Source organism: Homo sapiens, chromosome 16 (genome assembly GCF_000001405.40).
Source record: "Homo sapiens chromosome 16, GRCh38.p14 Primary Assembly".
NCBI lineage: Eukaryota > Metazoa > Chordata > Mammalia > Primates > Hominidae > Homo > Homo sapiens.
The window spans coordinates 54,271,253-54,294,516 of NC_000016.10; the positions used below are offsets into that span (position 1 = coordinate 54,271,253).

The 23,264-nt window shown below is 53.5% G+C and overlaps 1 protein-coding gene across 2 annotated transcripts, besides 6 other annotated features; it reads right to left on the reverse strand.

Moving 5' to 3' along the window:
- Positions 1-12,051: 12,051 nt before the first annotated feature.
- On the reverse strand, positions 12,052-15,535 carry IRX3 (iroquois homeobox 3). Of its 2 annotated transcripts, none has more exons than NM_024336.3 (4): positions 14,532-15,535; positions 13,245-14,361; positions 12,994-13,060; positions 12,052-12,488 (listed from the first exon to the last, which is right to left on the reverse strand). In NM_024336.3, the coding sequence occupies exons 1-4, from the start codon at positions 14,796-14,798 to the stop codon at positions 12,434-12,436; spliced, it is 1,506 nt and encodes a 501-aa protein (NP_077312.2). In that variant the 5' UTR covers positions 14,799-15,535; the 3' UTR covers positions 12,052-12,433. The 2 variants fall into 2 exon arrangements, with proteins under 2 accessions (NP_077312.2, XP_005256196.1); XM_005256139.4 differs by having other exon boundaries at positions 12,052-12,684.
- Positions 13,631-14,550: an enhancer, noted in NCBI's record as "H3K27ac-H3K4me1 hESC enhancer chr16:54318795-54319714 (GRCh37/hg19 assembly coordinates)". NCBI's record gives its function as "activates a minimal SCP1, AML or CMV promoter by ChIP-STARR-seq in naive H9 embryonic stem cells {active_cell/tissue: H9 hESC(naive)}" and the evidence as "EXISTENCE:reporter gene assay evidence [ECO:0000049][PMID:30033119]".
- Positions 14,551-15,470: an enhancer, noted in NCBI's record as "H3K27ac-H3K4me1 hESC enhancer chr16:54319715-54320634 (GRCh37/hg19 assembly coordinates)". NCBI's record gives its function as "activates a minimal SCP1, AML or CMV promoter by ChIP-STARR-seq in naive and primed H9 embryonic stem cells {active_cell/tissue: H9 hESC(naive and primed)}" and the evidence as "EXISTENCE:reporter gene assay evidence [ECO:0000049][PMID:30033119]".
- Positions 15,604-16,104: an enhancer, noted in NCBI's record as "H3K27ac hESC enhancer chr16:54320768-54321268 (GRCh37/hg19 assembly coordinates)". NCBI's record gives its function as "activates a minimal SCP1, AML or CMV promoter by ChIP-STARR-seq in naive and primed H9 embryonic stem cells {active_cell/tissue: H9 hESC(naive and primed)}" and the evidence as "EXISTENCE:reporter gene assay evidence [ECO:0000049][PMID:30033119]".
- Positions 16,105-16,605: an enhancer, noted in NCBI's record as "H3K27ac hESC enhancer chr16:54321269-54321769 (GRCh37/hg19 assembly coordinates)". NCBI's record gives its function as "activates a minimal SCP1, AML or CMV promoter by ChIP-STARR-seq in primed H9 embryonic stem cells {active_cell/tissue: H9 hESC(primed)}" and the evidence as "EXISTENCE:reporter gene assay evidence [ECO:0000049][PMID:30033119]".
- Positions 18,256-19,172: an enhancer, noted in NCBI's record as "VISTA enhancer hs51". NCBI's record gives its function as "enhancer in: dorsal root ganglion[5/5]" and the evidence as "EXISTENCE:transgenic organism evidence [ECO:0001131][PMID:17130149]".
- Positions 19,920-20,801: an enhancer, noted in NCBI's record as "H3K4me1 hESC enhancer chr16:54325084-54325965 (GRCh37/hg19 assembly coordinates)". NCBI's record gives its function as "activates a minimal SCP1, AML or CMV promoter by ChIP-STARR-seq in naive H9 embryonic stem cells {active_cell/tissue: H9 hESC(naive)}" and the evidence as "EXISTENCE:reporter gene assay evidence [ECO:0000049][PMID:30033119]".

Consider the following 23,264-nt stretch of genomic DNA (forward strand, 5'->3'; position numbering starts at 1 on the left):
ATATTATTTTTCCACCTTTGTTTTCCTCAGCTACATGAACCAATAAAACCAACAAAACCATCCTTTTAAAAGGAGGGTTTGAATCAGGTTTCTGTCCTGGGCTCTTAGGCACCCTGTCTTTTGAAATTCCAGAAGTATGTTTTCCTAGAAAGGAAAGCAGGAACTAAATTAAGCTACATAGATTATCAGTGACAAGTAGCCAGCCTCCAAGATGGCCCCAATGACCCCTGCCTCTTGGCATTAGTGCCCTTGTCTAGTTTTCTCCCATATTGAATAGGGCTGATTTGTGTAACCACAGTAGGATATTGCAGAAATGACAGAATGAGACTTCCAAAGCTAGGTCATAAGAGACGCTGTGGCTTCTATCTTGTTCTCTCTTGGATCACTGGCTCTGCCATGTTGTGTGGACACTCAAGCAGCTCTGTGGAGAGGTCCACGTGGTAATGATCAGAAACCTCCTTCCCACAACTGTGTGAGTGAGCCATCTTGGAAGTGGATGTCCCAGTCTCAGTCAAGCCTCCAGATGACTGTAACCCTGTGTGACATCATGACTGCCACCTCATGAGAAAGCCCAAGCCAGAACCACCCAGCTAAGCTGCTCCTGAATTTCTGAGGCACAGGAACTGTGAGATAATAAATGTTTGTTGTTTTATGCTACCAGGCTTTGGGATAATTGGTTATGCAGCAATGGATAATTGATACAGTGCCTTAATGTGTAACTCCCACCAAAGCAGGTCAGTGCTTTGCACAGCATCATTTGACTATTTTTTTTTTTTTTTTTTTTAGTAAACAGTCCTTTGTTAAATAATATCAACTATCACTTATGGAGCTTACTGATATGGTGTCTGTTGCTATACTAAAGGCTTTGCATACATCATTGCCTCAGTGAAATTCTCCGTAGAAATCCCGTGTAACAGGTACTATTGCTGTGTTCATGGCAGTATAGTGATTTTTGTAATAGAGTCTTGGGAACCAGACTACCTGGGTTCAATTATGCCTCCTCCCATTTCCTGGGGCTGTGGCTTTGGGTGAATTATATCTCCCTGAGCCGCCGTTTCTCCAGCTGCAAAATGGAGGTAATTGTAGTACCTACCTCATAGGACCTTGTAAAGATTGGATACACTGCTATACGTGCTTAACACATACAAGCTACACAATAAATGCTAGATATGATTATTTACAGAGGACAGCACTGAGGCTTAGTGTGGCTGAGCTAATTTGCTGAAGGTGCCTTAACTGGTAAGCAGTGGTGCTGGAATGTGGACTCCTGCATCTCAGTCTTTTGAGGTCAGTGCTGGCCACTAGAAACACAACATGTGCCATGTACGTCATTTAAAAATTTCTGGACGGGGGCTGTGGCTCATGCCTGTAATCCCAGCACTCTGAGATAACAAGGTGGGCAGCTCACCTGAGGTCAGGCATTTGAGACCAGCCTGGTCAACATGGTGAAACCCCATCTCTACTAAAAATACAAAAATTAGCCGGGTGTGGTGGCTCACACTTGTAATCCCAGCTACTCAAGAGGCTGAGGCAGGAGAATCACTTGAGAGAATCTTGGGAGGTGGAGGTTGCAGTGAGCTGAGATTGTGCCATTGTACTCCAGCCTGGGCAACAGAGTCTCAAAAAAAATTCTAATAATTGCATTTAAAAAGTATAAAGACACAGATAAAATTAATTTAAATAATAGTCAGTTCCAAACTTACGATGGTTCAACTTACGATTTTTTGGCTTCACAATGGTGCAAAACCATTGCAAGGTAATAATTTCTCAGGCTGGAAATATGCAGTATGAGAGATAGTCAATACTTTATTATAAAACAGGTGTTGTGGCCGGGCGTGTTGGCTCACGCTTGTAATCCCAAGACAGGCAGATAACTTGATATCAGGAGTTTGAGACCAGCCTGGCCATCACGGTGAAACCCCATCTCTATTAAAAATATAAGAATTAGCCAGGCGTGGCGGTGCATGTCTGTAGTCCCAGCTACTCGGGAGGCTGAGGCAGGAGAATCGCTTGAACCTGGGAGGTGGAGGTTTGCAGCGAGCCAAGATCGTGCCACTGCACTCCAGCCTGGGTAACGGAACGAGACTCTGTCTCAGAAATAAAATAAAATAAAATAAATAAATAAATAAAACAGACTTTGTGTTAGATGATTTTGCCTAACTGTAGGCAAACGCAAGCGTTCTGAGCATGTTGAAGGCAGGCTAGGCTGAGCTATGGTATTCGGTAGCCTAGGTATATTAAATGCATTTTTGACTTATGACATTTTCAACTTATAATGCGTTTATTGGGTCATAACTCCATAGTAAGTTGAGGCGCATTGTATATCTTATTTAACCCTGTATGTTCAAAATACTGTCATTTCAATATGTAAAAACACAAAATCATTGTGATGCTTTCCATTCTTTTTTCTTTTAATATCTGGAGCCTTTGAATTCCAGAGTGTATTTTGATGGCACAGCTCGGTTAGGACCAGCTGCATTTCCAGTGCTCAGTAGCCATGTGTGGGCAGCGGCTGCCATGTTGGATGGCGCAGGTCCAGGGCCTTCCTCTTCCTCTTTCCCATTGTGCTGCAGGCCTCCTTTGTGTCTCCAGGCCCATGAATGCATAAATCCTTCCCCATCCCAAACTAGGCTAAGTCCTCTTCATCATGCACACTTACAGCATCTTGTTCTTATCCCTCATATTCCAGCAAACACATTATTGCTGTTATTTTTATAAAACCACTTCCAGTAGACTGAAGGCACCAGGAAAGCAGGGACTTTGTTCACATGTTGTCTCCCTGTGTGATATTGTTGAATAAATGAATGAATGAATGAAAAGATGTGAATGAGGCCTGGCGCAGTGGTTCATGCCTGGGAACCCAGCACTTTGGGAGGCCAAGGTGGGAGGATCACCTGAGGTCAGGAGTTCGAGACCAGCCTGGCCATCATGGTGAAACCCTGTCTCTACTAAAAGTACAAAAATTAGCCAGGCATGGTGGTGGATGCCTGTAATCCCAGCTACTCGGGAGGCTGAGGCAGGAGAATTGCTTGAGCCTAGGGGGCGGAGTTTGCAGTGAGCTGAGATCACAGTACTGCAGTCCAGCCTGGGTGACAGAGTGAGACTGTGTCTCAAAAAGAAAAAGTGAATGACACAGTCCTTGCCCTCAAGGGCTCCTACCAGTTTCGTGCCTATCCAGGATGACCTTCCTTCCTTCCTTCTTTCTTTTCTTCCTTCCTCTCTCTTATTCTCTCTTTTCTTTTCTCTTCATGAGACGTACCCAAGTTTAGTGGGGATCAGCTGTGATCTTCGATGCGTAAGAAATCGGCTGCTATTAATAAAGTCCTAAGTTTGTCTAATTAGGTCTCCTCCCTGTCACTATGCTGTGAAGTATCTGGAAGGCCATGTGGGCAGAGGCTATGGCTATGGAAAGCCCAGTGTTACTCACAGCCAATCATGAACATGTTTAAAGGCAGAGAAAGAGGCCGAATCCATCTTCCATCTTGGTGTAATCAGCCCCGGGTTGGTGCTTGGCTCCTTCCCCTTTGACCTCTCTCAGTCTTTCCTTTCCTGCCTCCCTCCTTGGTCTCCCCCACAGCATCCCAGCCCCATTCTGCATTTCCCATGGAAATCCAAGTCTCAGAGACTGTTCCAGCTCCATCCTGGTGGGGCCCCAGGTTTTACTGAGGAGTATCTAGACCAGTATTTCTCACCTTTTAATATGCAACACGCAGCAGGGCACAATGGCTCATTTCTGTAATCCCAGCACTTTTGGAGGCTGAGACTGGAAGATTGCTTGAGGCCAGTAGTTTGAGACCAGCCTGACCCCTTTTCTACAAAAAATTTAGAAAAAAAAATTAGCCAGGTATGGTGCTGTGTGCCTATAGTCCCAGCAACTCAGGAGGCTGAGGGGGGAGGATTGCTTGAGCTCAGGAGTTCCAGGCTGCAGTGAGTTATAATCATATCACTGCATTCCAGCCTGGGTGACAGAGCGAGACCCTATCTCAAAAAAAAAAAAAAAAAAATAGCACTTGCATCACATAGATACTCCTAGGAAAATGCAAATTCTGATTGAGTGGACCTGGAAGGGGTCTGAGAATTCACATTTCTAACCAGTTCCCAGGCTGATGCTGTGGGTGCTGGTCCAGGGATCACACATCGAGGAGCGAAGATCTAGAAAGAAGGCAAGCCTTTTTCCTGCTAATGTGGATGGCCTCTCACAGCAAAACTTTGATGTGCAATTACCCCCAAAGCCTCCTTCCACCAGGAGTGAAGCTGAGAAGGAATCAAAGGAGTGGACAGAGATCTTCGTCCTGTCCTATACCTACTGAAAAAATAAATGAGAGGGCCAGGTGCAGTGGCTCAAGCCTATAATCCCAGCACTTTGGGAGGCTGAGGCTGAGCAGATCACCTGAGGTCAGGAGTTTAAGACCAGCCTGGCCAACATGGTGAAACCCCATCTCTATTAAAAATACAAAAATTAGCTGGGTATGGTGGCAGGTGCCTGTCATACCAGCTACTCAAGAGGCTGAGGCAGGAGAATTGCTTGAACCTGGGAGACAGAGGTTGCAGTGAGCCAAGATCATGTCCCTGCACTCCAGCCTGGACTATAGAGGGAGACTCCATTTCAAAAAAGAAAAAAAAAAAAAGAGAGGGAGGACAACAGATTCCAGGGTATTCCTCTGACACAGCTCTCAGATGCCCTTGCATTCTGTCTTCCACAGTGGAGGCAGGTGGATGCGATGTGCCAGGGCTGCACGTGACCCTGGCCCATCCAAGACAGTGTCATGCCCGTGAACATCAGGTAGGTCAAGTAGAGGGATAGCATGGGATTAAAGTGGGCTCACAGCTGCAGAACACTCCACTCCAAATCTTGATGCATGAACTAGTGTAGATTCTAGCACAGACGAATGCATGCCTGTGCCTTCTGGAGTCAGAAAGGCCTGAATCAGTGCCAGCTCCACCCTTGATTGGCCATGCTGAACAAGTGGCTGAGCTTGGATTTACCTACGTATAAAATGGGGACAATTACGCCTATGGCCTAGGGTGGTTGTTATAATTAATAAAAATAACATTTGCAATGTATTAGTTAATGATTATGCATGAGGCCAATCATTATGCCTGATGCATTGCTTTTGGCATGAATTCATTCACTTCATTTTCTCAGCAGCCTATGAGAAAGGTAATATAATTATTATTTCTGTTTTAGGAGGGAGCCAAGCTCAAAGAGGTGCAGTTGGTACCCCAAGGTCCCACAGTTAGAGAGTGATGGAGCTGGATTTGAACAAAGGCAGTCTGATTCCGGGGCCCATCTTCTGGAGCACCACACCTGAGGTGCATGTTCCTACACAGGTGCTTTGTGAGTATCTGTGGTGTCCAATGAGTGAGTCATTTTCAACTTTGCTGAGAGATCCAGGGAAGGTGGTTTGTTGCCTTTCTCTTTCTTTCTCTCTCCTCCCCCACATGCATTTTAGTTATTTTAAAACAAACAAAATAGGCCAGGCACGGTGGCTCATGCCTGTAATCATAGCACTTTGGGAGGCCAAGGCGGGAGGATTGCTTGAATCCAGCAGTTAAAGATCAGCCTGGGCAACATGGTGAAATCTCGTCTCTACAAAAAATAGAAAATTTAGCCGGGCATGGTGGTGTGCGTGTGGTTTCGCCATGTTGGCCAGGCTGGTCTCAAACTCCTGACCTCAGGTGATCCGCCCACCTTGGTTTCCCAAAGTGCTGGGATTACAGGCCTGAGCCACCACGCTCAGCTCATTTTATTTTTTAAAACAGGCCAAAGAAGTGAGCACTGAAACGGCCTCCACTCTGCGCAGGCCACTGGGGCCAAAGCCAGCTCCTGGAGGTGACAAGATTTCCTGTTGGTGTTTGTCCACAGATAACAAGCCATTCACCCTAAAGACAGGAAGGGAGGAAGGAAGGGGCAAACAAAAATATGGACAAAGAAAACTTTAAAGCCACTCTAAGAAATAGAAACAGAGGCCCCCGGACACCCAACAGTCCAGGCCAGCTCTCCCGCTCCATGGGCCTCACCAGCACTGAGGTGGACGCCATCTGGCTTCAGACACTTTTCCTCAGCGTCCCAGCATCAAGCAAAGTGGGGCGGTGGAGAGAAATCAGTGGGGCTGGTTCACATGGAGCCTCCAGCTTCCATGCTCCAGTGATAAATAATGTACCAAACCCAGAAAACCCCGCTATGTGGAGCCTGGGCCTCTTATTCCAGAGGTGTGAGGAAGGGAGACAAGCACTTCTGCTCAGTTTGTGGAGCTGTGGATTCTAGGGGCACAGCAGGGGCCTCGGGTGGCCAGACCAGTCCACTGCCAGCCTGTGGGCCAGCCAGGCTCCTGCGGGCCTCAGGCTTGACTAGGGTGCACCCACCATCCAGGCAGGAGGAGTCTGTCTCCTACTATTCTGAATCTATTTCTCCCCTCCTGGTCATCAAAGTCCTTTAAAACACACACACACACACACACACACACACACACACACACACACACAAATAGTAGTAACATTTTAATCTATATGCATTTTTATCATCATTTAAAAGATTTTTTCACATTACCTCTGGAAACTCTTGCTATCTAATAAATATCAGGAAAAAAAGAGGAAAGGGAGAGGAGAGGAGAGAGAGACCAGCAAGAGGCAGGGCTCTGCTTTGTCAGGGAGAAGAAAATAAAGAGAAATCAGCCCAGCTTCAAAGGGCGCATTTCCATAATTGCCCTGTAACTTTGGCAAAATAAATCTGAGCGGCGGGGAAAAGCACAATCTCTCAGATGAGTGCACTCCAAAGGCCCTGGAGGGCTGCGGGCCCACTTGTTAGCGGCCTGGTGCAGTGAGAGAGTGCAGGCTCGCCTCCCAGTACAAAAGCCATGAAATCACAGCCTTCCCGTCCTGGCCGGCCAGGCCCCAGAGTGTGAACTTACCCTTCCTTTGTCTCCCTCCTGCACCCTGACACGGGACACACACAAACACACACACACGAGTGCACACACACACACACACACGGAAAATAAGCAAGTAAATAAATATACCCGTACAAGGCAAAAACCACACTAGTTAAGTTTTCATCTGCTAGAATCTTCTAGTAACCTGCACCTGACATTAAGATTCAAGGAAGACAGGCCCCAGCTTTCCAGACACACATCTCGTTGGGGGTGACTCCCACTCTTTCACCCCAGAAGGTTTTGCCTCCAGCCGCTCCAGCCTTGGGCACCAGGCTGAGTTGAAACCCACTCTTTTCTTTTCCCCAGGCTCACACAATTTCCTGTTTGCTTTCTCTCTCACCTGACTTCCCCGTTCCAGGGCCAAAAGCTGTTAAAGAACAAAAACGCTCTGCTTAGCACCCTGTTTTAATGTTTCTCTCAACAAAGCTGTGGCTGTGGGAGAAAATACTTACTGTGGCTGCCTTAGACACCTCTCCCTGCGTCAGCTCTGTGTTTCTCAACCTCAGCACTACTGAAATTTGGGGCTGGATAACTCTTTGTAGTGGAGGATTTTTCTGCAGCACCCCTGACCACTACCTATGAGATGCCAATAGCACCTTTACCCTCGTTCTGATGATCAAAAATTACTCCAGACATTGTCAGATGTCCCCAGGGAGGGGGCAAGGGAAAAACACAATTGCCTGGTTGAGGACAACTGCTCCACTCTTAAGACCCTTTCCAGTCATGCCTTTACCACGAGAAGAGATGCCTTCATGGTAGTTTTCCATTCAGACCATTGGGATGGCCTTCGGAGGGGCCAGAGCCCCCTCAGAGGGGAGCAGCAACTGCATCAAAGCTAGGTTGTTCACACACTAGATGGGCATTTTTTTTAACAGAATCTCACTCTGTCACCAGGCTGGAGTGCAGTGGCACGATCTCGGCTCACTGCAACCTCCGACTCCCTGGTTCAAGCGATTCTCCTACCTCAGCCTCCCAAGTAGCTGGAATTACAGGCACGTGCCACCACGCCCAGCTAATTTTTGTATTTTTAGTAGATACGGGGTTTCACCATTTTGGCCAGGATGGTCTTGATCTCTTGACCTCGTGATCTGCCTGCCTCGGCCTCTCAAGGTGCTGGGATTACAGATATGAGCCACTACGCCAGACAGGCATTTTTAATTGGTCAAGTTGGCTGGCTGAATCCAAGGACAGCAGCGAATTAGGATCAAGAGGCAGTATCCAGAGAGGTCAAAGGGCCCCCTCACCCCCAACGATTATCTTTGAACTCATAGTTCTTTCCTTTATGCCTAATCCTAGACAACACTGGATTTGGAAGAAAGCTTGGATAAATTCATCTAATCCAAACCCTCCATTGCACAGATGTCAAAAGTGGGCCTAGAGAGAGTATGAGACCTGCCCCCACTCAAGCTGGTGTTAGTTCATCACAGACACAATTTTTACAAACAATTGTCCATTTTCACTCGAAGTGGGTGAAGGGTACCTGCAACCAGAAATTGTAGGATCCAGAGGACATTTCTAGAAGGATACAAACAATTAGGCCCAAAGCAAGTCCCCGGCAAAAACTCCCAATAAAACTAAAACAGAAAATGTCTGACATCCAATTCTTACCCAAGCATTCAATCCCTATGGCCAACCTTGCAAAACTCAGGCAGTGGAGTCTCTGAGCCCGGCTGTCCTCAGTGTGCTCAGAGAACACCCACCTGGTAGGTGGGGACCCTGCCTTGTCCTCATTCCTCACCTGGGACAGGTGAGTGACTTCCGTTGCGCCTGCCCTCTGGTCCTTCCATGTTGTTTTCTAGGTAGACCCCACCTCCCCCTTCCTGTATTCCCCTAGAAAGAGATTCAATTGGAAACCATTAATATGCTGGTCCCAGAGGTGGACAATCACTTAGGGAGATAATTTCATTCTCCTCCGGCTCCCTGGCTCCGGGATGCTCCCCCGCTCCCCAGCTCCACGCAGATAATGAGGGAAGCAGTGCCACACTTTCCCTCCTCTGACCTAATTGATTATCCCCACACACCTTGGAGTGCTTTGCATAACCAGCCCCGACAGCAGGAACCCCTTCCAGGAGGAGTGATTGACATATTTTATTTCTAATTGAAGCTTAATCAGAACCAGGGATGAGATTCCCATAGTCTCTCTCCTTCTCTCCTTCCTGGTTTCCCTTTAAGATTTTAAGGACAGACAATAAGGGATGGAGGCATTCCAGGGACCCCTGAGAGGAGGGAGATGAGGGGAGGGCTTAGGGAGGAGGTTCTGGGAGGAAGAGAAGAGATGGGAACTCAGTCAAGTGAAAGAGATGCCAAGAGGACTATCTCCTCTTCCCTCTTTCAGCTGAGAAGCTGAGATTCTTTTATTGTTGTTGTTTTGATTAGGTTATCTTATTGGGGTCAACTTAGGACCAGTTGAGGGCTCATGTGTTCTATGGGATAAGAGAAAATACGGATGCATGGGGACTGCTCCTAGGTTTATGCCAAGTCTCCTCTGGTACCTAAATATACTGCTTTATCAGTGGGGACAGAAGGTGGCTCATGCAAGGACCATTATCCCTGGGATGTGGCCTGAGAAGCTGACCTTACTTCACGGTCTCCACCAGAGAAAGACCTAGAGACCCACACTCAGGCATCTTCAAGCCCCGCCTGCTTCTCCATACCATCTGGCTGTGAGCAGATCCCCTGCCTCCTCTTGGGTGATGTTCAGTGTAGTGAGGCCACCTAACCTCTGCTGTCACCTCCCTCTCTGCTGTGCCCCTGCCTGGGAAGTTCCCCTCTCTTGCTTAGCTGAGCTGGAGTTGCAAAGGATCCTGGGATGCCTGAATGCAGACACCTCACTTTTATGACTAATGAAAGGGGTGGAGTGGAATACTGCTGGGAGTTTAAGAAGCGAAATGGGAGATTCTGACATGTAATTTTAATAGTAAAATGACCAGGTTCTGAGGATCAAGCCTGTAATCCCAGTGCTTTGGGAGGCTGAGGTGGGAGGATTGCTTGAGGCCAGGAGTTCAAGATCAGCCTGAGCAACATAGAGAGACCCTGTCTCTAAAAAATAAAAAAAATAGCTGGGCGTGGTGGTGTGTGCCTGTAGTTCCGGTGAATAGAAGGCTGACACGGGAGGATCATTTGAGCCCAGAAGTTTGAAGTTGCAGTGAGCTATGATTGTACCAGCTGGGGCAACAGGCTGGGCAATACTCCAGCCTGGGCAGCAGAGTGAGATCCTGTCTCTAAATTAAAGAAAAAAAGAGTAAGATTGCTTCTGCCTACCTACCTCGTGTCAGCCCTGGACATGCTTCCTCTCAGCCTAAAAACTGCCCCCTTCGCCCTCATTATTTCCATTTTGCAGATGAGGAGATAAGGGCTCAGAGAAGTGAATTGTCTGCCTCGGGTTTCACAGGGGGTAAGTGGGAGTAGAGTCGGTGCCACAGCTAAGCTTGTGAGGCGTGAGCTGTTGAGGTGTCGGAGTGCTCTCCTTGTAAAGTCATTCAATGTTCCGGCCTCAGGTCCAAGTCCGCGAGGATGGGCGGGCTCCACGTCTGGGGGCGCTGTGAGCAGGGCCAGAGCGAAACCTCAGTCTGAGTTTACGAACTGGGAAGGAGCCTGAACCCCAGAAACACCGTTAACAAAGAGGGCGAACGCTAGGGAGCCGAGGAGACGTCTCCTTGGCCTCTGGGGAAGGGGCTGGAGGAGCGAGCCAGCTGAGAAGCGGCTTTGCCGGGTGTCCACTAGCGGTTCGCCAGCCCTCTGTGCGCCCGCAGAGTGACGCAGAGGCCGACACAGTCCCCTCCCCACTCGCCCCTGGGGCGCCGCCGCACCTTGATCACCCCCTTCGCGGAGGGAACTCCCAAGGCGCGGCGCTGGCCGCTGGGTCCGCATGGCCCAGTCCTGTCGGGCTCCGCTCTGCTGCCGCCGAGCTTCGAAGGTGTGCAGTGTTGAGCCGTGTCTTGTTCCGTGGCTTCGAGGGGTGTGCGCGCTTCCTATACCTCCCCGGAACGCGCGAGATAGTCACACGCGCCACTTTGAGGGTCAAACACCCCGCATCTGGCCACACTGTACCTTTACTAACGTGGGGAGGGGGCAAAAAAATGTGTCTCTCCTTCTTACCCCGAGGTGTCACTCGCCCAAACACTCCCTACAACTTCTTCAAGTCAAACTTGGGCAAGGTTGGCTGGCTGACTGCGAGAGGAAAAAGAGGGCGCGGAGGGGGCGCGGCGCGCGGCCGGGTGTAGAGGCCACGGAGGCGAGGCGCCGAGCGTCCCCTTTGTCCTGTAGAGGGAGCTCCAGCCCCAAATTTCCCTGCTGCCTCCCCCGGCCCGCCCACCCCAGGCCCGCCTGGAGCCGGAATCCCGGCTGGAAAGGTGCGGCGGTCTGACACCCCCGCAACCCCCGCGCCGGGGCCTTAGCAGGATGCCTCTTCTAGGGCACGTGGGAAAACCCACCAGGGTGCCAAGACGCACAGATGCTCCCAGGACCCGGGCTCCCCAACTCTCAACTAGAGCTGGGCAGTCACACATCATCTAGAGGATTATGTACCCCTAGGCGACCCTCTTCTCCATATCCGCCTCCACCGTCACCCCACACCCTGGCATCTATAAAGAGGGAAGGGGGGCAACCGGGTTGGAAGGAGGATGGAATCTGGGCTTGCACAGCCTCTTATAGGTAACAGTGAGAAAGCCTCAACTGTGTCGATCAAAGAATGGGGACGAAGGGAGTGATGAGAACACGACCCCGCCACCCGCGCAGGCTAACCCCGTTGTGTCCAGACCCTTCTCTAAATCTCTTGGCAAGGTCACCAGAGAAGGATCCAAGCCCCCGCGGTTGCTCCCGTAGACAAGCGGGTCGGGCCCAGATTCCCGGCTCTCAGCAAAGAAGCTTGCCGGGGTCTCCCACCTGTCTCCTGCTCCCGTTTTCTCGGCCGCCCCAGGTACTTTTCCAGCCACCTCTCCTGCTGCGGCGCCCCCAGCCCCGCCACTTCTGCGCCTCCTCAGCTATTGCTGTCCTTTGACTACTCGGTCCCGATTCGTCTCTCGTCCTTTCCCGCGAATTCTTCAAACAACCGAGGGGAGAAAAAACCCAAAAAACAAAAAACCACCAAACAGATCCGTCGAGGGGGCAGACAGGCGGGTTATAGTCAAAGTGGCAGCAGCTCATTTATTTAGCCAAAAATAGATACTTTCTCGTACAATTTGGTTCACACATATGTACATTTCTCTGTATATATACACACACACAAAGGCAGACACGTTTATTCTCACTGAAACTCCACCCCCCAAAATCAACCGGACAAACAAACCTCACAGCGAATGCGGGGTGCCACAGAAGCGACTTGGGGAGGGCTGAGGAGGACTGGTTTTATTTCTTTTTCTTACTTTCTTTGTTTAGTTTTGCTTTTAGGTATTTATACACGGACATGCTTACAAGTTGTAACTATACAGAGCGATTTTTTTTATACAATTATTACAACGATTAAAAAAAGTTTTTTTTGTTTTTTTGTTTTTTTTAAAGAACTAGGATGAGGAGAGAGCCGATAAGACCAGGGCGGCGTCCAGATGGTTCTGGGGCCTGGAAGAGAGAGACAGTAGTAGCAAAAGAGGTGAGATTCAGGAGCGCAGAGGCTGCCTAGGGCGGGGAGATCCTACTTGGATTGGGGCCGATCGTCAGGAAGGTGTCGCAATGTAAAATTATGTCCAGTTGTAGATGTGTGTGTTGGGGTTTAACTGTAGGGTGGGCACGAGGCGTCAGGACCCGAGGTCTGGGGCTGGAAAGAGGTGGGCGTCAGAGAACCGCCACCCGCCCCAGGGGCCTGTGGGCCCAGCCACGCAAGGCTTCCCCTAGAAGGTACAAGCGCTGTACCCTCCGGCCGCGCCTGGGGTGCCTGGGCTGGACCTGGAGAGCTGTCGCAGGGCCGACAGGGGCGACTGAAAAAGTGACTTTCGTCCCCTTTTACAAAATGCGTCCCAGCAGGGTTCCCCCCTACCCCGGGGCAAAAGGCCGTGCGTGGTGCTCGGCGTCCTCTCCTTTCCCCGCCAGCCAGTCCCCCTGGCCCCTCAACCTCGGGGTTTCTTACCGCCTGGGCACGGGCTGGAAAGCTGTCTTGAGTAACTTTTTCTCCACTTCCAAGGCACTACAGCGATCTAAGGGAAGCGGGGGAAGAAAAAGGAGGGCCTTTAGAGCGCTCGGTGCCGGCGCCCAGGGCCGCAGAAAGCAGGAGTGGAGAGGGACGCGCGCCCTGCGCCCCCCGGGCCCTGCCCCTCCCGGCCAGCTCCGGCACTACCCGCAGAGCCCGCCCCCGCTCCGCGCCCAGCGCTCAGCAGTCACCTGTTCCGCCTTCGGGCTCCGCTGGCCGAGCGAAGGCGGCGGCGGCAGCCGGGTGGCCCGCGGCTCCGGGAAGTCCCAGCAGGTGCGGAGGGGCAGAGCCCAGCAGGGAGAGCGGGTGCAGGCGGGGGCCGGGCGGTGGGCCTGGAAACGGCCGGTTGGTCCAAGCCGGGAACTTGCCCAGCGGCGCTGAGACCAGTCTGTGAGCGGCGGCGGCGGCGGCGGCCGGAGAGAGCTGCAGGGCGGAAGGCGCGACCGCTGCCCCCGGTGGAGACCCCCCCGCGCCGGGAGGCGAGCGGCGCGGGTTGTCCGGGCTTGTGGCAGTCTCCGCGAGGGACCAGATCTTGGGCTTCTGCAGGGCGGAGGCGGGGGCTGGTGCGGGAGCGCAGGGGTCCAGGCTCACGGGGGGCGACGGCAGAGACGGCGAGGCCACGGCCACTGGTGGTGGCGCTGGAGCCAGACTCAGGACCGGTAGTGGCCGGTCCTCTAAGCCCTCAGAGCTATCTTCCGAGTCGCTATTTTTGGAGTCCGAAATGGGTCCCAGGCCTAGGTCGCCATCCCTGCGCGCCGCCCCAGCCAGGGACAGCTCAGGCTCGGTGGCCGCGCCGTCTAAGTTCTCCAAATCGATCTCCTCGTCCTCGTCGTCGTCAGCCAGGCCCTCGCCCCCCGTGTCCTCCTCCTCCCCCCCGAGCTCCTCCTCCTCCAGCTCTAGCTCGCGTTTGCCGTCCTCCTCGTCCTCCTCTTCGTCTTCCTCCTCGCGCTCGCTCCCATAAGCGTTTCCCTCCTCGTCAGTGCGGCTGCGAGGCGCCCAAGTCATCTTATTCTCCTTCTTGAGGCGCCGGCGCGCGTTGGCGAACCAGGTGGACACCTGGGTGAGGGTCATCTTGGTGATGATGGCCAGCATGATCTTCTCGCCCTTGGTGGGGTAGGGGTTCTTGCGGTGCTCGTTGAGCCAGGCCTTCAGCGTGCTGGTGCTCTCCCTGGTGGCGTTCTTGGGACGGGACGGGTCCCCGAACTGGTACTGGCCATACGGGTAGAAGGCGGGGTGCGGGTGCGGAAACGCGGCAGCCGCGGCCGGATGCTGCACCCCGGGGCTGTCCTTCAGCTCATACTGCGCGCCCTGTACGCACATGGAGAAGGAAGGGACACGCGCGGAGGGAGCGCGAGTGAGCCCCAGCCATCGCTGCCTCCCCCCTCCTGGCCTGCACCCCTCTAGTCCGGCCCCCGCGCGCTCAGCTCGCCCTGCGCCCCAGCGCCAACCCCTCCTTCCCTGGCTCCGCGGGCTCTTACCAGCTGCGGGAAGATGGGCAGCTCCGCGGCGTAGGGCAGGAAGGCGCCGTAGCCTTGGGCGGCGGCGGCCGCAGCGGCCGCGGCGTAGGGCGCCCCGTACACGGACGAGAGCACGTTGGACAGGGACCCCGAGGCGTTCAGCTCCGAGGCTCCGGCACCCAGGCCGCCCCGGGCCCCCGCGCTGCCGCCGCTGCCGCCAGCGGCCCCCGGGCGCTCGGACGGGTAAAGCGGGCGGATGTATTGGTATCCCAGCTGGGGGAAGGACATGGTGGCCCGCGGGGCACGGACGGAGAGGGGGGCCGACCCCCGGGCCGCCCAGCTCAGCGCCGCCCGCGGGCTCCGGCGCGCATCGGGGGCTGGGCCGGGCTTGGGGCCGCGCTGCCGCCCGCGCTGCGCTGTGCTCCGCGTTCGCCTATTGATCTGCTCCGCGGCGGCGACGGCGGCGGCGAGGGCGGCGGCGAGGAGCCAGGTCAGGTCCGAACAGATTGGCGGAGATTCCCGGGGCTCCGGGCTCTGATTGACATTTCTACGGGGCGCAAGCCCCTCCTCTCTGCGCCGCGCTCCCTCCTCTCGGCCGCCGGAGCTGCCTCTGCCCGCTCCTCGCTCCTCACTGCCCTCCTCTCCCCAGCAGTGTCGCGCCTCGCTTCCTTCGCCCTCCTCTAGTTTTCACTCCCCCTCCTCGCCCTTCCTCTCCCCTCCCCTCTCCGCACTCCTCTTCCCCCCAGGATCGCTTCCGCTGCTTCGGGCTCCTGCACTGCCCTGGACGCTATGAAACTCTCCTTTCTCCTCTCCCCTTCTCTTTCCCTTTCTCACGAGGGCTTTTGCTCTCCGGTCCGTTCCCTTCACTTCTTCCTTTCTCACTACTTCTATTTTGTAAATCTCTCTCTTTACTCACACGATACTCCCCGCGACCTTTCCAGCCTCTGCGCCCTGGGCTAAGTAAGGCAGCCAAAAGTTGTGGACACTTAGGGTGCCGCGCGGGGGGTGTGTGTCGGTGTCTGTCTGTCCATCCCCGCCCTTCCACCCCCTCCCTCGCCTTTCCCCAAATCTCGGGTCTGACGTCGCGCCCTCTTATTCGACTTTTCCCCGCGTCTCTTCCCCGAGTCGCCAATCGCCTGGGCGCCTTACGGGCGAGGCCGCCCACCCCCGCGGATCCCGCGCGCGGGGCGGGGCGGGGCAGGGGCGGGAGCCGGAGCGCCGCGAGTCCCTGCCCGCCCCCTCCTGCTCGCGCCGGGCGGGGGAGCGAGAGGCGCGGGGACTGGGTGAGTGCAGGGTCAGCTCGCCCCTCCCGCCTCCCGCCCCTCCGAGCCTGTCCCCAGGCTGAGGCGCGGGACCTGGGCCGAGGCTGGCTCCGGGAGCTCCCCTGTGCCCGGGCCCCTTTTACAGCTCGCACCTCTCGACTCCCGGCCACTTTCAGCAGCTTAGGGAGGGAGCTAGCAGCCGGCGTGGGGGTGGGGAGCGAGGGAGTGCGTCCTAACAGAGTCTCCAGAGGCCACCTCGCTGCCTTGCGGGGGCGAGGCAGCCCCCAACCCAGCAGGACCAAACCCAGAGATTAGCCACTTAACGCCGCCCCCGGGTCCGTGTGCGAATCCCTTACTAAAAATGGCGGGCTGGCTCCGGGGGCTGAAGGGTGGCAGCCCGGGGGCACTGGAAGGGTAGGGAGCCGCCACAAATCGGTGAAGCAGGCCCGCGCCCCAGGCGGCTGGGAATGGGGGAGGAGCAGGGCGCCGGGGGACGGAGGCCCTAGGAACTTTTGGAGAGCTCTTCGAGAAGTTTCTGTATTGGCGTTTTTGTCTGTGGAGAACCTTCCTTGCGCGACCCCTACCCCTTCTCCCGGTCCCGGCGCTAACCTCTTTTCTCTCTGCAAGGATCCTCCCACCGCCTCCGGTGGGGATGGAAAGCAAGAGTTTTGGTTTAATGATGGGATATTTCCTAAATCAAACTTGAAATCTCAGGATCGGGCGCCCACCTTCACGGATTAGGGCGTGCAGTCGATAGCGGCATTGAAATTCCCAGCATTGCCGCGGCTGGGGGCTCAGAGCTTTAGGCCGCGGCGGCGACCCACAAGCCGGCCAGGCCTGCAGTGGGCACGCCCCGGAGACAAAACGGGGGTGGTGACTCTGCCGTGGAGTGGCCAGCCCCAGCTCGGAGGCGGAAACCGTCACCTTGCATGGATGGATCCAGGAATCGAATTCGAATTCCACCAGAGTGGCGGGATCAGAGGAGATCAGAGGGTCTTGGCCCCGGCTGTCTCTGATCACAGCTCTGGGGAGCCCAGCTCTGGAATGAAAAATTCTTCCACCTCCACGGCAGACACCCAGTTTTGATCCCACCCCCACCGCCCACCTCCCACTTCCCACCTCCCACCTCTTTCCGTGGGTCTTGGCACAAGCCCACGGCCCTAGTAGGTGTGAACGCCAAAAACCTTGCGCGGGCGGGATGGGGGCGGGGAGGAAACAAGGGAAAGTTTGGGGAGGACCAGGTTTTGGGGGCAATGAGGGAAAGCGGGGTATTCCCAGACTGCATCTGAGTAGTTTCCCTATCACCTTCTCTTCCGCCTCTGCCTGGTGCTGGGGAGCCTGGTGCCTTCTCAGGAGCCTCGCCGGAGGAGGCGTCATCAGGGGCCGCCCTGGCTTTGAAATATCTCTTCGACGCCTGATTTCGTTTCCCGTTAAACCTCACAGAGAGTGGCATAGGGAATGTTGGGCTCACTTTCACGCGAAGAAACTTGGGGTTACAAAATTGAGAGTAACGTTATTTTCCGGGATGTTTCCTAGGTGTCAGACCTCGAGCCTCGACGGCCCTGAAGTCATAGTGTTTGTACAAAGTGGTGGCACCAGACCAGGAGGAGCTGAGAGCGAGATTCCGAGGTGGGGGGAATGGGGCTGCGCTGTAAGTGACCGAGTGAGACTCCCGATATTTAATTTAGCTTTTTTCAGAAGGAAAAGAAAAAACAATAATGAGCCTCGGAGATGCTCCTTCTGCATTAACCAGCTATCGACCTGTCTGCGTCGGACTGCGGGCGGCGAGAAAGAGGACAGGGAAGGGCCAGGCGGCTCTTAGGGACTCAGTCACGCCGGCGGGTGGGGGGGGGGGGCGCCCACAGCCCAGGGGATGAACCTCCAGACCGAGACGTGCACCCAAGAACCTCGCATATTAGATCCCTCCAGGCTCCCCAGGCCTCGAGCAGAAGCGGCCTCCTGGCTACCCTACTTTCCAATTGAGAACAGCCCTGGTCTGTCCGGGCCATCTGCGCGCCACGTCGAGACTCAGCGTCCCAGGCAGCCGCGTCCCAACGTGGCGCTGGTCCCCCAACTCGACAGGTCCAGTGGAGCCCGGCTGTGGGCTGAACTCGAGGGTCCGAGGGCAGCTGAACCTTTTCCAGGGATTTTTAATCCAACAGATTAAATGGGTCAGAGTGACACACTCGCACAGGGAAGAAAAGCAGGTGCACAGAAGTAGATTTGGGAAAGTCGCGCGCACGAACGCGCTTCACGCAGAAGCTTCTCCATCATCTTGCCTTCTTTCAACATTCCCAGCGCACAAAGCGCTTTGGAGACTGACTGCAGGCCCTCTCAATGCAGCCCAGGGAGCGGGGAGTGTTCGGAGAGGGTGTCTGTCCATCGCACACGCTTGGCGCGCGTGCGCCGGATGCGCACCGGGAACGGCTGCCCGACGTGTGCCCAGGGCCCGCGGCCCGCCAGGTTCTGGGGGCTGCGCCTCGCACTTCACAAGAGGGGAGTCACCAGGCCCGCTTCCTGCCCCCTCCTCGCCCAGCCTCACGGTGCTCACACGTCCCCGTCGAGGGGAGCCGCGGCAGCCCTCGGACTCCCAGCCCCGGCTCATCTTCTATCCTTCCCTCCCAGGCCCTAAGTCCCCGGGCTGCGGTGCGGGCCGGCGATCTCTGAGCTTCCTGCAGGCGCTGCGGCGCGCGCTCCCACCGTTCCCTCCCCCTCGCGCTCGGGTTACAGGTTAATGAAATGCTCGTTTTCCTCAGTCATTTGTTTTGTTTTCCTGCAAAGTTCTGATAAGTAGCTAACCAACGAAGCTTGTAATTACAATCTTACAGAAACCGGGCCGATCTGTATATAAATCTCACCATCCAATTACAAGATGTAATAATTTTGCACTCAAGCTGGTAATGAGGTCTAATACTCGTGCATGCGATAATCCCCTCTGGATGCTGGCTTGATCAGATGTTGGCTTTGTAATTAGACGGGCAGAAAATCATTATTTCATGTTCAAATAGAAAATGAGGTTGGTGGGAAGTTAATTTCTCTCCGCTCTGTGAAGCGTAGACAAGAATTTAATGATTTAATTACAGTTGTAAGCCCTTTCCATGAGACTTAAATTGAGCTGAGAATATTTTTTTTCCTTCTCTCTCCCTCTCTCCCACTTTCGCGTTCTCTTTCTCCGCTATTAGCAGCCGCGGACTCCTGAGAGCGTGGCCTGGCGTCCGCACAGGGTGGAATTCGTATTTGGCCAGGAATCCGGACTCCGATCATCCCAGGAGACGCGGACCGGGGGCCTCCAGAGCTCTCCGGAGCGTGCTGCCGCTCCCCACCAGCCACCAGGGACTCGGAGGCCCTTCCTGGGTCCGGAGAAGCGACGGGGACACTTAGGGGAAAACTTTGCCAACTTCGCTCTTGGCGCGGAAGAGGCCGCTGGCCGGAATGGTGCAGCAGCGGCGGCGGGCCGCGACGCGCAGGGTGGGCCCCGGGCCAGTGCTGGGCACCCTGGAGCGCGTCGGGATGCCCAAAGTGGGGCGTGAGGCCGGTGGGCTCTTTGCTCCTCCGCTTCGCCCCTGCGCCTCCCGCGACCCGTCTCACTTCCCTGCGTCTCTGAGCGGCCCGAGAGGCGCAGCGCTCAGAGTGGCCTTGATGGAAGAACCTGGCCCTCGGCGGGAACGATTTTCTTTTGCTTTACCTCTTCTGGATCAGCCGTTTTCCACCTGACTTGAGCAGCCCCCTCCCCCATGCCTTTTTTTTCTCGTTCCCTCCGTCTGTCCTCACAATTTCCTCTATCTTCGATTTCTAGATCATTCGCTTTTCTTCTCTTTCCTCCGCTTCCTCATTGTGCTGTTTTTATGCCTTTGCCCTGGACCACTTTTCAGTTCACTTTTCTCCCTTCTGCTCCCTCCCTCACCCCCTTCTTAATGTCTCTTTTTTCCTCGCCCTGAGTCTGTGACTGTGTCCCTTTCCCCCATCTGCAGTTGCCGTTTTTGATTTTCTTTCTTTCCTCCCCACTTCCATCCGGATCCTCTCCTATTTCCTCCTTGGATTTCTGTCTCTCAGGTTCTGTCTCTCAGGTTCTCCTCTCCGTAAATATTCTCTCCTCTCCCTCTCCGGGATCCGTCCCCTCCCCCACGTGGATCTGCCTCCCCGGCGCCCCCTCCTCATTCATCCTGGGAGATGAATTTGTCGCCTTATTGGACGCCGAGGCCAGAGCCGTGTGAGGGGGCTCGGCCAGCGCTGTGCATTTTCTTCATGCATATTGAGGAGATGGTAATGAGCGCGTTTGCATTGTTGCTTGGAAATGTTGTGTTTCCTGCCGCAGTTCGCAGTTCGGAGTGGGCGAGGGTGGTGTGGGCCCAGGACAGCCCCTCAGTAGGCACCCGGCCTGGCGGCCGCCGCTGACCCTCTCCGGATTCCCGGGCTCTGGGGGCCGGGGGAGGAAGCGACCTTGCCGAGCTCCTGACCCGGCCGCCGCCTCCTCCTCCGGTTTGTCCACAAAGGCCGTCGCGCTCCCCTCATTAAAGCCTCGTTACAGGAACCCCCGGCTGGCTCGCGACGGCTCCTCCGAGCCCCCCTGCCCACCGGCCTCTGAGCCCCTCCCCTGATTTGAGAGGCCTGTGATGGAGCGCCACCAGAAAATTAGTGCCTGACAACGTCGTCTATTGGCAATAAATTGAGATTCCAAGTGACACGTCGCGGGATCAAACACAGCCACATTGTTGTGTACCCTGCTCCGCTCGCTCCTCGTTAATCTTGGAGGGCGCCTTGGCATCGCTTGGCCAGGGGAGGTTGTAGGCAGGCCTTTCGGCTGTCAGGACTCGGATCCTGCCTCTGCCCTGGCTGAGCCCACTTCAGTCATTCAGGAGGGACTGACTGCCCCTCCCTGATAAGGTCCAAGGCGCTCAGGAGGCGTGACCCAGGAACGCCTTTCAATAAGCTGAAGGTTTATTAAAGTCAGGAGCTTCGAGGGGCAAACTCTGAGTTAAGCTTGTGGGGAATCGACGTGAGCCTTGCTGGGAATTCAGAACATCAAGGTCTGGCCTTGTCTGGAATTGTCTGGTGTCGAGTTTCCCAAACTTCAAGCTTCCCGCTACTACCTTTATTATTTACTTAACATTTTTCCTTAAATTGACTCATTTTTAAAATCAAAGTACATATTTTTGGAAAGAAAATCTGATACTACCACTGTAAATTGAAAAGTAGCTGTTACTCACCAGAAAAGGAAGTGGTAAAAGATAAACACAGCTAAAACCAAGCAATGTTAATACATGTTAGCCGTTTTGCTGGCTTGGAAAGACTCCTAGAGGCTCAGGTGTGTGTGTGTCATTAGCAAGTGTTGGAAGTGTTAAATACTGAATCTTTCTCGGAAGAAATGAGACAATTGAAAAGAGAATGTTTCTCACTATTCAATGTTCATTTAATTCAGTGTTAATTTAATTCTCTGATCCAAGACTGCACACTACCTAAAATAATGTTGACAACCTCAAGAGCTAGGACTGTTGAGGAGCGTATAAAAAAATTAAGATTAGGCTGGGCGCGCGGTGTCTCACACCTGTAATCCCAGCACTTTGGGAGGCCGAGGTGGGCGGATCACCTGAGGTCAGGAGTTCGAGACCAGCCTGGCCAACATAGTGAAACCCCATCTCTACTAAAAATACAAAAATTAGCTGGGCATGGTAGCAGGTGCCTGTAATCCCAGCTTCTCAGGAGGCTGAGGCAGGAGAATTGCTTGAGCCCAGGAAGTGGAGGTTGCAGTGAGCTGAGATCGCGCCATTGCACTCCAGCCTGGGGGACAAGAGCGAGACTTTGTCTCAAAAAAACAAAGAAAAAAGAAAAAAAAGATTAAAAACATAATGTTGATTTATTATTATTTACCAAATAATTGTGTTAAGCATTTTCAAACTGTATCATATTTAATTCTCACTATAAGTCTACAAGCTAGAGGCTATCCAGGGTGGCCATGTGTGGTAGTACAGGATGTTCATTGAACAAGGGCACCGACGGGCTAAAAGGGTGTGAAGTCTAGCCCTGCTGTGTTCACCAATATGTGTACCTTGGCTTGGGGCCACACTGGAGGAACAGTACCTTTCTCTCATGTACACAAATTTTATACAAAATTGGCACAAAATTGGGTTATGACCTAACCCTAATCTTAGAGATGGGGAAACTGAGGCTTAGAGAGTTTTGCAAAGCCCAGGCTGAAATCCTGTCTGATATTTTTAACTATGATCCCTTTGGGAGGGAGAGCAGTCCTTTTGGGGGCTTGGGAGGAGATGATGAGAGTTTGGGGGAGAGATGCTGAAAGACTAGTCCCTGGTTTGACTGAAGGAAAGGGGCGATCAGGCTGCCCAACTTTACCTCCCCCTGAATCTTCACACTTCCCACAAATATTGGGGAAGATTTGGGCAAAAATACAACTGGGGTCAAGGATCCATTATCCCTGCTAATGACTAGGTTGAGGGAGAGGAAAAAGGTGTTCTGGTCTGCTTAGGCCTAACTCTGGATGTCTGGAACTGTTTCTTGACTTTGTTGTTTTTGTTCAGCTTACCTGCATGAGTCTATGCACCAGAGTTCTGTCTTGTTCTCATTTACACTGTTTGGAAATTTCAGATTCTTAAAGACAAACTGACAGATTGCAGTGCACCAGCGGTTGTGAATCAGTGATTGCCTCTGATCACAGGCTCTTTTTTTTTTTTTGGTTTGGCCTCCATAGTGGCCTTTCCCCCCCCTTTTTGATTGAATTGCTTGCTAACACTTGCTACTTAGGTGATTTCATTTAAAAATCTAGGCCTTAGGGTTTGTTTAAAAAATTGGAAGGCTAAGAAATACAAGACTTCTTTATGAGAACAAATACCCAGATTTCATAGCTGCTGCCCTTCTACCTGGACACACTCTAGTTTGCTCCAGTCCCCATCTGGCCCACGTCTCTCAATTGCTTTCAGGCAGCTGAATTTGTTATCCCTACTTTGTATCATCAGCTGTGATAATGGGACATGCTTGCAAGTAGACACTGTCCTCCAATGTGAGGGACCTAGCACATGCTAGGTCAGCATGGCAAGTGACTCTTCTCTCTGCCATGCTTCTGGTTAGCTGGGCAGCTGCTTTGCCATGGTGGGGTAAGGGTGAGGGTAGGTGTCTAAGAGTGACAGGAATGAATAGTCCTGACTCCCCGGAGACTATCCAGGTATCACAGCTGGGCCTATTCTCAAGCTCCTGGGAAGAGAATGGGAAGAAAGATCCTGCAACAGGAATTAGGAGGAAGCCCCAACTTTTTCTTGATTCCCCCACACCTTAGGCCCAGCCCTCCCTTGAGTCCCATGCACCATCTTAAACATGTCAAGCCAGAAAAGCTGCATTTTCCCTTCTTTTCTCCCTCTCTCCTTTTTTCTTTGCAACACGTATTTACAGAGTGCCTTCCATGTGCCAAGGAGCAGTGCTAAGTGCTGGGGATAGAGTGGTGAATTAGAGAAGTACCTTGTTGTAATAGAGCTTAGATTTT

Coding starts and splice junctions, on each gene's coding strand:
- IRX3 (XM_005256139.4), bottom strand. CDS start 14,798: ATGTCCTTCCCCCAGCTGGGATACCAATACATCCGCCCGCTTTACCCG. Junction 14,362..14,531: donor TGCCCATCTTCCCGCAGCTG/GTAAGAGCCCGC, acceptor ATGTGCGTACAG/GGCGCGCAGTATGAGCTGAA. Junction 13,061..13,244: donor GGAGCCCGAAGGCGGAACAG/GTGACTGCTGAG, acceptor CGCTTCCCTTAG/ATCGCTGTAGTGCCTTGGAA.